The sequence below is a fragment of the Homo sapiens genome, chromosome 10 (genome assembly GCF_000001405.40).
Source record: "Homo sapiens chromosome 10, GRCh38.p14 Primary Assembly".
NCBI classification, from domain to species: Eukaryota; Metazoa; Chordata; class Mammalia; order Primates; family Hominidae; genus Homo; species Homo sapiens.
Genome location: NC_000010.11, coordinates 11,712,728 through 11,725,455, shown reverse-complemented (window position 1 = coordinate 11,725,455; position 12,728 = coordinate 11,712,728). Strand labels below are relative to the sequence as shown.

The following is a 12,728-nucleotide window of genomic DNA, read 5'->3' as shown; positions in this document are numbered from 1 at the left end:
TGGATTCAAAGTGATGGTGATGTTTCAAAGACCTGCAATAGTAGTTCCCTCTAGAGACACATGGGGGTGACCTAAACAAGCAAAGCTGTATTGGACTCTATCCGTTTGGATTCGTGTTTAAGCTGTTTTGAAGATGATGGGGCGTCTTTGAATTCTGTTTCACTGGTCATATTGACCAGCTGTGGATGACACAGGAAAGAAATGTAAAGGATGATTTAATGGGCCACATAAGAGAGTAAGTACATTAAATGCAGAGACAGCCTCTGTTCAGAGAGAAAAGGCAACACATGCTTTCTCTGAGTGAGGGCCCTGCGACCGCAGATGTGAATGTGATACTGCAATCCTGGACCTCCCAGGGAGGAAGGGCTGGGGGTTGCAGGGGGCGCCTTTCCAGCTCCCCCCTGCCCCCGCCCCCCCGCCCCGCCGTTCACGGAGAAATTGCCATTTAGTTGAGAAAATGCTGAAATGTATGTTGGGAACAGGCAATAGGATTTCAATTCCCCCATCAGATCCTCTGATTTTTCTTTTTCTTAAAGTACATGTGGTATTTTGAAGACCTGTCTTACGTGTAATAAAAACTCCTACCGGCCGGGTGCGGTGGCTCACGCCCGTAATCCCAGCACTTTGGGAGGCCCAGGCGGGTGGATCATGAGGTCAGGAGATGGAGACCATCCTGGCTAACAGGGTGAAACCCTGTCTCTGCTAAGAATACAAAAATTAGCCAGGTGTGGTGGCGGGTGCCTGTAGTCCCAGCTACTTGGGAGGCTGAGGCAGGAGAATGGCGTGAACCCAGGAGGCGGAGCTTGCAGTGAGCTGAGATCGTGCCGCAGCACTCCAGCCTGGGCGGCAGAGTGAGACTCTGTCTCAAAAAAAAAAACAACCAAAAACAAAAAAAAAACAAATCTCTTACCATTCTCTTTCAATCGCAAGTGTTGGTGGCAAATCTCCTTCATTAGTTTGCTTGAATTAGAGTTTTATTTCTATTTTTGAATGTAATCTTTCTTTCTTTTTGATTCTTTGTTTGTTTTTGGGGACAGGTTCTCATTCTGTCACCCAAGTTGGAGTGCAATGGCATGATCATGGCTCACTACAGCCTCGACCTCCTGGGCTCAGGTGATCCTCCCACCTCAGCCTCCCGAGTAGCTGGGACTATAGGCATTGACCACCATGCCTGGTTAATTTTTAAATTATTTTTGCAGAGAGGAGGGTCTCACTGTGTTGCCCAGGCAAGTCTTGAACTTCTGGGCTTAAGCAATACTCTCATCTCAGCCTCCCAAAGTGCTGGGATTACAACACCCGGCCATCTTTCTATTTGTAATGATGGGACATTATGTGGGAAATGGGCTGTGACAGCTTCGTCAGCTGGGCTAAATGGAGTTTTAAAAATTCTTGGTCTAAATGTGCAAAGCAGTAAATATAATTAATACGAGGCTGTCTGTACAACAATAGCCACATATGCTGCTACCTGGGGCACTTTGACAGGCTGAATTTACACGTGTCAAGCCATGACTTTCCTGACACCCATTTGCTTTCCTGTGCTACTGTAAGACCTTTACATTTTAGAATTTCCATGTCTATTTATTTGAACAAACTGAACTTCATGTTGAATAAACCGAAGAAGTTGGCAAAATTCAAAGGCACGTAGGGAACAAGTGTAAGGTGCAATTTCAAGTGGTTTACAAAGCTGAAATATAAACTCCTTTCTTTTCTCCACCTGTGCACCCACCCAGATGCTTCGTGCTTGTGTGTGTGTGTGTGTGTGTCTGTATATAATCGTATATTTGTATAAGTTAAAGACAGGGCTGAGTTTTATGTCTCGGTCAACATACTACAGCCATATTAACATGTCCTTCTCTCCAATTCCCACACGTGCAAATCATGGGGATCCCCAGAAAGTCTTTGAACTTGCACAATCCATGGAATTGGTCAGGAGGGATGGAACCAAGTATAACTAGATTTGAAAAACAGAGAGGCCCTAGTTTATATCTAAGTTCCACATATTTTTTAAATGTATATATTTTATAACATATAATATAAACATGGAATAAGATAGTGTAGTGCTTTGTAACCGGCTTTTCCCCCAGTACATTATTAATCCTTCCATGACACTAAATGATAAAACTATATGATAAAATAGAGTGATGCTTTTCAGGTCATTTGCAGGAAAATATTTCCTACCTCAGTGGACAAACTTTTACATAAATCGCTCTGCACATCTCTGATCTTTCACTTGGGTGAATTCCTGGAAGTGGTGTTGCTGGGTAAAAGGATAGGAACACAGTTGATAGCTTCTAGGTGTTTTTAAGAGAAAGGGTGTGACTGGCTTAGAAAGTACCTATTGGCCGGGTGTGGTGGCTTACGCTTGTAATCCCAGCACTCTGGGAGGCTGAGGTAGGAGGATCACTTGAACCCAGAAGTTCGAGACCAGCCTAGGCAACATGGCGAAACCCTGACTCTATAAAAAAATACAAAAATTAGCCTGGTATGGTACATGCACCTGTGGTCCCAGCTACCCAGGAGGCTGAGGTGGGAGAATCACCTGAAACCAGGGAGGTCGAGGCTGCAGTGAGCTGTGATCATGCCACTGCATTCCAGCCTGGGTGACAGAGTGAGATCTTGTCTCAAAAAATAAAATAAAGTAACCTATTGATGTGGTTGAATTTGCTCCATGAAGATGACAGTACCCACTGGATGCCTTACACTCTACATGCACACACAGCCTTTAGAATGAACAGCTTTTCAGGCAATTTCAAGACCTCCTCTGCATTTGCAATAATAACTAAGGGAAATGTGGCTGCATTAGTCAGGGTTCTTCAGAGAAACAACCAATAGGAAATGTTTGTATAAAAATATTAAAATATGTTACAAATATATAGAAGGAGATTTATTATGGGGAATGTGTTCATGTGATTATGGAAGCTGAGAAATCCCACGGCCGGCCATCTGTGAGCTGGAGACCCGGGCAAGCCGGTGCCATCATTCAGCCCAGGTCCGCAGGCCTGAGGGAGCCGGTGGCCTAAGTCCCAATGGGGGAGATCCCAGGCGGAGGGCAAGAGGAGAGGATAGAAGACAGCCCAGTTCAAGGAGTGAGGCAGGAAAGAAGGGGTGTGTTTTTTCTTCCTCTGTTCTATTTAGGTCCTCAACAGATTGGATGAGGCCCGCCCACGTAGGGGAGACTGATCTAGTTTCCTGAGCCCACTGTCTCAAATGCTGGTTTCTTCCAGAAACATCCTCACAGACACACCCAGAAATAGTGTCAAATCTGGGCACCCAGGCCCAGTCAAACTTACACGTAAAATTATCCATCATGTGGCAGAGCTAAGGATGGGCAGAGGGAACAGAACAGGGAAATCTCCAAATCACTGCAGCTTTGCTGGGCTGGTTAATCTTTCCAGGGATTCCACAGATTGGTTTGCAAAAACTCCAGCGAAAGACCCATGCATTGCAACACTAAGGTTAGATCACCAATGATTTGAGAAATAGCACCTTACAAAATGCCTCTTTGAGTATTATCCAATCTCAGTTTGTTTAAGTCCCTTTGTAACATAAGAAATGTGGTCTGTAATCCCAGCATTTTGGGAAGTCAAGGCGGGAGGATCCCTTGAGCCCAGGAGTTCAAGACCAATCTGGACAATGTAGTGAGACCTCATCTCTACAAAAAACAAAAAAGCCTGGTGTAGTGGTGCGTACCTGTGACCCAGCTACTTGGGAGTCTGAGGTGGGAGGATCACTTGAGTCCAGGAGGTAGAGGCTGCAGTGAGCTATGATCATGCCACTGTACTCCAGCCTGGGGGACAGAGTGAGACCCTATCTCTCTGTCTCTCTCACTCTCTCTCTCTCTCTCTCACACACACACACACACACACACACACACACACACACACACAGAAATATCTTCCTCTTGTCCAAGGGACTAAAGCAGAACATAGCGTCATCTTCCATCTCCCAGGTCAGAAGAAAGAGGTCTCCTTGCTTTGGTTTGCACTATCCTTTGTCTGTGAGGAAACTGCCTCTGACCTCCTTCAGTTAGAAACACCTGCCCTTTTTTTTTTTTTCAAAAGTGTTGCTCATATTCCTCTTTTGCACTGTGTCTGTCTTCCTGCCTGCCCACCTTGACTCCCTCATCACCACCACCATCACTGGACCATATAGTGAGACCTTGTCTCTACCAATGACCCTGCCATCCTTGGCATGGAGGAAGGGGAAATGAACTGAGCCTGGAATCCAGACATCTAGATCTGTCTAGATTTGTCTAGAATTGTCTCTAGATTTGTCTACTCACCTGTCAAATGGGAGAATTAAGCTCCTTGAGATGTTTTCACACAGTTTGATGGGAAACCCTCGGGCTTCTAAGGAGAAAGCTTAGGACCGTGAATTGCAAGAAGATGGTGCTGAGAGGCCCGAGGGGACAGGTACCAACCTCAGAGTTGGCCTCAACAGTCCCCCGCTTACCTGTTTGATATATTGGGTTCTGTCCATTTTTTTTTTTTGAGATGGGGGTCTCACTATGTTGCTCAAGCTGGTCTCAAACTCCTGGCCTCAAGCAATCCTCCTGACTCAGCCTCCCAAGTAGCTGGAATCCCAGGCACGTACCACCACACTGTCCAAAATGTGTTTGAAGCCTGAGTTCTGCTGATCAAATACAAACCAGTTTCGAAGGCCATTAAACAAGAGATGTGACAGAGGTGGAGGAGGGACTTTTAGATACAACATTTTAAGATTTTGCGTCAGCCTCAAGAAAGCGAAGAGCTTAATTTTTCTCCCAGGGAACTTCGCATGAGGAGGAGGGAGAGATTTTATGAATGACAGAAACTTACTACGCTGAGTCACTTCTTTCTTTTGTCAGAAATGCATCCTTCAAGGAGAGCTTTAAGCGCATGTGCACAGCCAAGGTTGCAGCTTGGTGTCTGAACGCATCTCCTCCACTTCCCAGTGATCAGTATTCACTGCCACTCCTGACTTTGCATTTTGGGGCATTCGTCCTCTGTGGGAGGCCCTGATTATTCATCCATTTCCACGACACATGGTGTCGTATGATTAGTGCCTGTTCCGCAGAATTGGAAACTGGGGCGCAGAAAGGATGAGCCACTGACCTCAAATGTCCCACATTGTCTCTCTGAGCCAGTGCATCAGGATCTGAGCTTCCTAAAAACAGTTCCCTTCTGCTAAGCACTGCCCTGCCACAGAGAGACTTAGTTCTCTTTTCTGATCTCCCGGTGGCCCCCAGACTGCTTCTTTCTCTTTTTATTTTCTTTTTCTGGGAAACCAGTGCATTATCATTTGGCAGGCTATGGGCTGGGAAAGGCAGGGCCTCCGAGTCCAAAGCCCACCTTCTGAGTGCAGGTGAGAGGGTGGGGACACCTGTCCTGTGTGGCTGGGGAAAATGAGGAGGTGGTTGTTAAGGTTCACGCTTGTTGCCTGAACCTCATCTCATCGAGCCTAAAGTCCTTTATTGCCTTGGGGCATCCACATGTTGAAGCAAACGGCTTAAAGAATGTTACAGAGTAATCCAGGAAGAACAGAGCAGGCAGTTGAGTTTCAAGATACTATTTAAACGTATAGCAGAGTTCATGACGTGATAGCCCAGGTTTATTTCTTTTGCAAGAGTTGAAATTTTTGGAAAGGAAAAGGATTTTCAAGTTCCAGAGTCTTAACTCTGAATGCTAATAAGGAAAGGCCAAGGAACTCACCACCCAAAGCTTATGCCATAAGGCCAAGCTTCCCAGCCAAGGGGCGATGACAACACCATGTTCGTCAAGCACACTGAGTCACGCCCTGCCACCGCCCAGGGTGAGCGTCCACTGTGCCCTACCTGGCCACCTGAGGCTGAAGGGGTCAACATCCTTGTTGCTACTCAACATCGTGTGGTTCTGCCAAGTAAACCACAAAATGCAAAGAATCCATGATGTGAGACCTGTGTTTCCCATAAATAAGAGATAAAAATAACATCTAGGCTGGGCCTGGTGGCTCATGCTTATAATCCCAGCACTTTGGGAGGCAGAGGTGGGCAGATTGCTTGAGGTCGGGAGTTTGAGACCAGCCTGGCCAACATGGTGAAACCCCATCTCTACTAAAAATACAAAAATTAGCTAGGTGTGGTGGTGCATGCCTATAATCCCAGCTACTTGGGAGGCTGAGGCAGAAGAATCGCTTGAGCCTGGAAGGTGGAGGTTTCAGTGAGCCGAGACTGTGCCACTGCACTTAAGCCTGGGTGACAGAGTAAGACTCTGTCTCAAACAATAAAAAAAAAATAAAATAAATTAAAAAACTTTTAGACCGCAGAGAACAGAGAGAGACTGTGATGTAGATACCCTACAAAGGGCTTTTTCTCTGGTAGAGCCTGGAAGGGACTAGAAGTAAACTTTTTAAAAATTCAAGATAGAATCGTGATGAGCAAGCCTCATGCACATGCATGAGGATGGCTACTACCAAAAAGGCAGAAGATAACAAGTGTTGGTGAGGAAGCAGAGAAACTGGAACTCTCATGCAGTGGGGTTGAGAAGGTAATATAGTGCAGCCGCGGCTGGGCGCAGTGGCTCACGCCTGTAATCCCAGCACTTTGGGAGGCCGAGGCAGGCGGATCACGAGGTCAGGAGATCGAGACCATCCTGGCTAACATGGTGAAACCCTGTCTCTACTAAAAATACAAAAATTAGCCAGGCGTGGTGGTGGGCGCCTGTAGTCCCAGCTACTCGGGAGGCTGAGGCAGGAGAATGGCGTGAACCCGGGAGGCGGAGCTTGCAGTGAGCCGAGATCGCGCCACTGCACTACAGCCTGGGCGACAAGAGCCAGACTCTGTCTCAAAAAAAAAAAAAAAAAAAAAAAAAAAAAAAAAAAAAAATAGTGCAGCCGCTGAGGAAAACAGCATGGCTCTTCCTCAGAAAATTACACATGGAATTACCACATGATCCAGCAATTCCGCTTCTGGATATGGTCCCAAAAGAACTTAAAGCAGAGACTCAAAGAGATATTTGTGCCCTGATGTTCATAGCAGCACTATCTGCAATAGCCAAAAGGTGGAAGCAACCCAAATGTTCATTGACAGATGAAAGAATAAACAAGCTGTGGTCTAGCCATACAATGGAATATGACACAGCCTTAGAAGAGGAAGAAATTCTGCCATGTGCTACAACATGGATGAACTGAGGACATTATGCTAAGTGAAATAAGCCAACACAAAAAGACAAATGCTATACGATTCCCCTTACTGGTTCCCATTCTCGTTGCTGTACTGAAAGTGGTCAAATTCATAGAAACAGAAAGTAGAATGGTGGTGGCCAGGGGCTGTGGGAGGGGGAAATGGAGCGTTGTAATTTGTTTTTGACAGAGTTTCGCTCTTGTTGCCCAGGCCAGAGTGCGATGGCGCAACCTTGGCTCACTGCAACTGCCGCCTCCTAGGTTCAAGCGATTCTCCTGCCTCAGCCTCCCAAGTAGCTGGGAATACAGGCGCCTGCCACCACGCCCGGCTAATTTTTGTATTTTTAGTAGAGACGGGGTTTCACCATACTGGCCAGGCTGGTCTCAAACTCCTGACCTCAGGTGATCCGCCCACCTCGTCCTCCCAAAGTGCTGGGATTACAGGCGTGAGCCCCTGCGCCCGGCTGAGAGTTGTAGTTTAATGGGTACAGAGTTTCAGTTTTGCAAGATGAAAAGTTTCTGGAGATAGATGATGGTGAAGGCGGCACCACAGTGTGAATGTGCTTTGTGCCACTGAACTGTAGACCTCAAAATGGCTGAGATGGTAAATTTTATGTACTATGTGCACTTTACCACAATTTAAAAACAATTCAACACAAATGATTTAAAAAAAGTTCAAAATAGATTAGGAGGATCTGGGAAAAGCTCATGTCTTGGAGAAGTCACCTCTGCCAGAGCCAGTGGCATCTGTGCAGATGCCTGGAGGACAGAAGATGGCCCCTGCTCACCCCACCCCTGCAGCAATGGCTTGCCCTTCTGGGAGAGAAGTGGCGACAGGGAAACCCTGATCCGACTAATTCAAAATGACTGGGGAAGTCAGTAATATGACTTGGGTTTTCCTGGAAGTGACAAGATTATTTCTGCTGTCAAGACAGAAATGACATTACCATAGAAAAATACAGAAAGCCTACATCTGCATGCTTGAGGTTTGTGACCATACAACTCACACTCCAGGAGAAAGCAGAGGAACACAGAACGTTGGAAACAATATGGCTTTTCCTCAAACAATTAAACAGAATTACTATATGATCCAGCAACTCCACTTCTGGGTACAGACTGGAAAGAATTGAAATTAGAGGGTCAAGGAGATATTTGTACCCTGATGTTCATAGCAGCATTATTCACAATAGCCGAAAGGCAGAAGCAACCCAAATGTTCATTGACAGATGAATGGATAAACAAAACGTGGTCTATCCATACAGTGGACTATTATTCAACCTTAAAAAAGAAGGAAATTCTGCCATGAGCTACACCACGGATGACCATAAAACCCACACTTCAGGAGAAAACAGAACACACACCAGAAGAAGACAGAGCCATGGCTGGATTTGCACCCAGCGCTCAGGCTTCCTCACAAGATGGCGGCAGCTCAGCCATCTGGCCACTACTTTGAGAGTCACTTCCTTTCTTCAGCTGGTCTCAGCCAGACTGACTTCCTCAGGAAAGCTAACTGGTAAAAAGGAGCTCAGTGCAAACAACATTCTGAGTCACCTGCCAGTACAGACCCTTCTCCATTTTACAGGGTTCAAGTGTTGTAGATTTGTCTGTGATGGATCCTGACATAAAGTTTGAGATTTTTTGAAATTTGGTCGGAAGGTAGGTCTAAAAAACAATACTGTATTTGACTGTATTGCTCGTCCCCTCTCCTATTCCTTCTGAAACAAATTATCCCGTTTGTTACTGCAGCTGTATCCCACTTATCACTGAGTGGGGTCGCATGTATGTTCATACTGACACTGCTGCCTGGCTACGTTTTTATCTTGCTTTACTATAAAAGTAAGTAAGCCCCTTTCCCGGGGTCACCTCCTGAGCGTTTCTGGGACCATCCGAGGATGCCAGCGTGTCTCACACCCTATCCTGGTTGTTGCTCACCCTGCTATTTGCTCCAGCACTCTGAGGTGTGCCTTGGCCACCGCCAGCCATGGCTCCCTCCCCTTCCCGCGGGAGTGCCTCCCACAGTTTCTGGAACAAGAAATTCCAGGGCTTTCGCCCAAGTGTGGGCACGGTTCAAGTCAGTGGTAACTTTCAGTGAGACTTCATTTTTAAGAGACTGTTCCACAGAGAATGACAGCACAGTGAGTGGCCCGGAGCAGTGCTGGGTAAATATTTGCTGAATAAATGAACTACGCTGTCAGCCCACAGGCCTAGAGTGAATGACTCTTTGTCTATCAGGGTTCTGTGAGGCAGGAACAAACTCACCCTTGAACCGTCCTGACTTTGACCTTGCAGTCCAGCTCCACTTCCTCACCTGGCAGGGACCAGAGGAAGGAAGCCGTTTTGCTGTTTCTCTCTTTCTCCCACCTCCCTCTCTGCCTTTGCTTCCTAACCCCAGCATGGGTCTCTTCTAGAATGATAGATGGGGAAGGCACCCCTTACTCATGCCCAGAGGCCTACCAGGTAGACAGTAAGAGGATTTTGTGGCCCAAACTTGGCCCATTCCAAGTAATTCAATTGTGCGCACACCGTGGCACCTGCCAGGCAGGCACGGCCAGCCCAGGGGCTTCCACAGCCTCCGGGGTAGCAGGAGGTGAGGCTCCTTCCCCCAGAGAGAATCAACAACTCACACAACAAAACTCAACAACAACAACAACAACAACAACAAACAGGAACGACCTCCTCCCCCATTCATCACCAAAACACTGTGCTTCGGTTCCTGCCAAGTGCCCTCCAAACCCAGGCAGAGAAAGGAGGCACCCTTGAAGACTCAGAACCTTAGAGAACCCTCTGAAGTTTTAAACCACCAAAGTCAGCTTCTCAGCGAACAGCATCTCCCAAACAAGGGCGCACGTTTTAGCTTTACACTGTTTTCCTTTTTACAGAGATGGCAGGGTGGGGGGCGGGGGTGGGGTCTTGCCTTGTTGCCCAGGCTGGTCTCAAACTCCTGACCTCAAGTGATCTGATCCTCCCGCCACGACCTCCCAAAGTGCTGATTGCGGGCGTGAGCCACCGTGTTGACTGAGCTTCCCACTTTGCACACCTGACACCATAGGGTGATTTTCCCTAAGCAGAGGGCAGTTCTGCCTGGCAGGGAGGATTCCAGTGTCTCTCCAGGATGCTCAGTGACAGTTTAGTCCTCAGTGGGGCCCTTCCTCCTCCCTCTTTCCCTCCTGTGGGCATTTTCCTGCTGTCTTTGTGAGGTGGGGTGCAGGCACACTGCAGAGAAGCTGCAGCTCCCTGTCTGGTCCCGTGAAGTGGGCCCTACTGTGTCTTTGATCTTGACTGGCTCCTCCTACTCCAGTTCCCCGGATCAATTCAGCTCAGGGTCCAGACTTAGCTATGACCTGCCCCTCTCCTGCCCTTCTCACTGCTTCCCCCCAACCACTGCCTGCCTTCCCTCCATTCTGATGGGACCTCCACGTCCTCTGCACCTGACACCCCCTCTTGCATCCCGCCTGTTCTTTCTGGGCATGGGTGTCAACAATAGTCCCCTGCTTTTTTTTTTTAAACAGAGTCTCACTCTGTTGCCCAGGCTGGAGTGCAGTGCTATGATCTTGGCTCACTGCAATCTCCGCCTCTTGGATTCAAGCGATTCTCTTGCCTCAGCCTCCTGGTAGCTGGGATTACAGGCATGTGCCACCGCGCCCAGATAATTTTTGTATTTTTAATAGAGACAGGATTTTGCCATGTTGGCCCAGCTGGTCTAGAACTCCTGACCTCAAGTGATCCTCCAGCCTTGGTCTCCCAAAGTGAACAGCCCCTTTCTTAATCTGGGCTCCATCCACTATCTGGAGTTTTCTCTGCAGGCATCCTGTGTGGTTCCAACCACTCTCCAGAACCAGCTGGAGACAGAAAACAAGTTATTCGCCATATGTTTTCCCTTTTCTGTCCATCCTTCCCAGTCCCTTTGTCTCTCTCTCTCTCTCAGATGGGACAGGTAGCTTCCAGCAGGCTGAATGCATCTTTTGCACTGCAACAGAGAGCGTGCATTGCTGCTGTGAGTTTTGGATGGCCGAGGTCCCAAGCAGCCTCCCCTTTGGCTGCTCGTAGGCTCTGGCCCTTGGTCAGCTTGTCCCACAAGGGAAGGAAGCAGGGTCCCCGGGGGAGGTGGCTGATACAAAGATGGCCCCTCTGTCCAGCCAGAGATCCTGGGCCTGCTGGCCGGCAGGGATTGAAGCATAGAGGTCCCTCACTGTCCCCAGTGCCAGCGGGGGCTTTGCCCCCCTCTCCCCCGTCACTCCCTGCCATGCCAGCTCCGTTTATGAAAGGACAGTTCTTTATTCAGGGCCAAATGTAGCTTCCACTCCACCCATCCTCAGAGGCGCTTCTTAGTCTCGAGCATGTCTGTGGTGCAAAGGCATCACCCCTGTATTTGTGGGTGAATTTTCAAGCACATTTGCAGGGGGGACTGGGACCAGAGCCCGGGGTTCTGCTTGGCTTCTGTCCTTGGACTGAGGTTTCCTCCTGGGGATGGGTGCTCAGTGCTGGGCTGAGGCCAGCCTTAGAAGCCCCTCTGTTTGGAATTCCAGAGAAGGCTTTCCAGACTTTTCCGGCCATCAGGTCAGAGGAGAAGATCTGCCCCACGCCATTCAGAGGCTGGGACATAAGGGCCCTGATGAATCAGTGTCTTTATTCTCTAACACTCCCCCGTCCTGAACTGGCCCCTGCAGAATCCAGCAGGGATTTTTCCCAACCAATACCTTCAAGTCTTTCAAAACATCCATACTTTTTTTCTCCACCGCACCCAACAGTAGACGCCTGCTGTCTCCTGTGACGTTAACAACAGTTCCTAATGAGGATAAGGGAATTCCAGAAGGCTAAGAACAGGCTTGGGGTGCCCACGCCTTATCCCAGACAAACACCCCTGTCTCTCTGGGCTCCCTTCTCCCCAGGCGTGGCTGGAGTCTGGCAGATTCTTTGAAGCATACGTGTGGTCCTGGTGCATGGGAGTGCGTGGGAATATGCGTGGGCGTCCTTTTATCTAGATTGCCATGGCTACCCAGGTTTCCTTCACTAGTGCATGTACACTCCGTGGGGGAGAGTTCAAACACATCCTCTCCCGGCTGAGGCTTCACGCCAATTCCACTTCTGCTTCTTGTGATTTCATACAAGCAGGGCGCATACTGGGTCTTTGTGCCTGGAGTTCTGGAAACACCCACACCTTCACCATAGTAGACTTCTGAGGGGGGTACGGCACAGAGAAAGAACTGGAGCTGCGGGGTGCCTGGGGATGCCCCAAATAAGAGATGTTTCTCAAAGGCAACAAATGCAGCAAGGATTCTGTGAGTTTAAGGTGTCTTTTCAGGATGAAAGGAAACATATGTTGATGTTTATAGTGACTCAGTGGCGGAGAAGCCTCCATGCAAATGGAAAAAAAAAAATGCACAGGCACAGCCTTGTTCCACGTGTTCTTGGAGTTACACCAAAGTGGGTGAGAAAGTGATAAGCCTCCTGGGAGAGCCCAGAGATCCTGACTGGAGCCGACCTTCCCTCGTAGGGGACAAACCCCACGGTGCTGGCCTCTCTGCTGGAGCAGCTCTGGGTATGGGATGCAGAGAAGCTGTTCATGTTCAGAGGTCTCCTAAGACGTTCCC

The 12,728-nt window shown here is 48.3% G+C and overlaps 2 annotated features.

Moving 5' to 3' along the window:
- Positions 2,484 to 2,625: a silencer, noted in NCBI's record as "fragment chr10:11764830-11764971 (GRCh37/hg19 assembly coordinates)". NCBI's record gives its function as "represses an EF-1alpha promoter that drives an FKBP-Casp9 reporter gene in an ReSE screen in K562 erythroleukemia cells {active_cell/tissue: K562}" and the evidence as "EXISTENCE:reporter gene assay evidence [ECO:0000049][PMID:32094911]".
- Positions 10,352 to 10,646: an enhancer, noted in NCBI's record as "tiled region #10517; K562 Activating non-DNase unmatched - State 7:EnhWF". NCBI's record gives its function as "activates a minimal TATA promoter and a strong SV40 promoter by Sharpr-MPRA in K562 cells {active_cell/tissue: K562}" and the evidence as "EXISTENCE:reporter gene assay evidence [ECO:0000049][PMID:27701403]".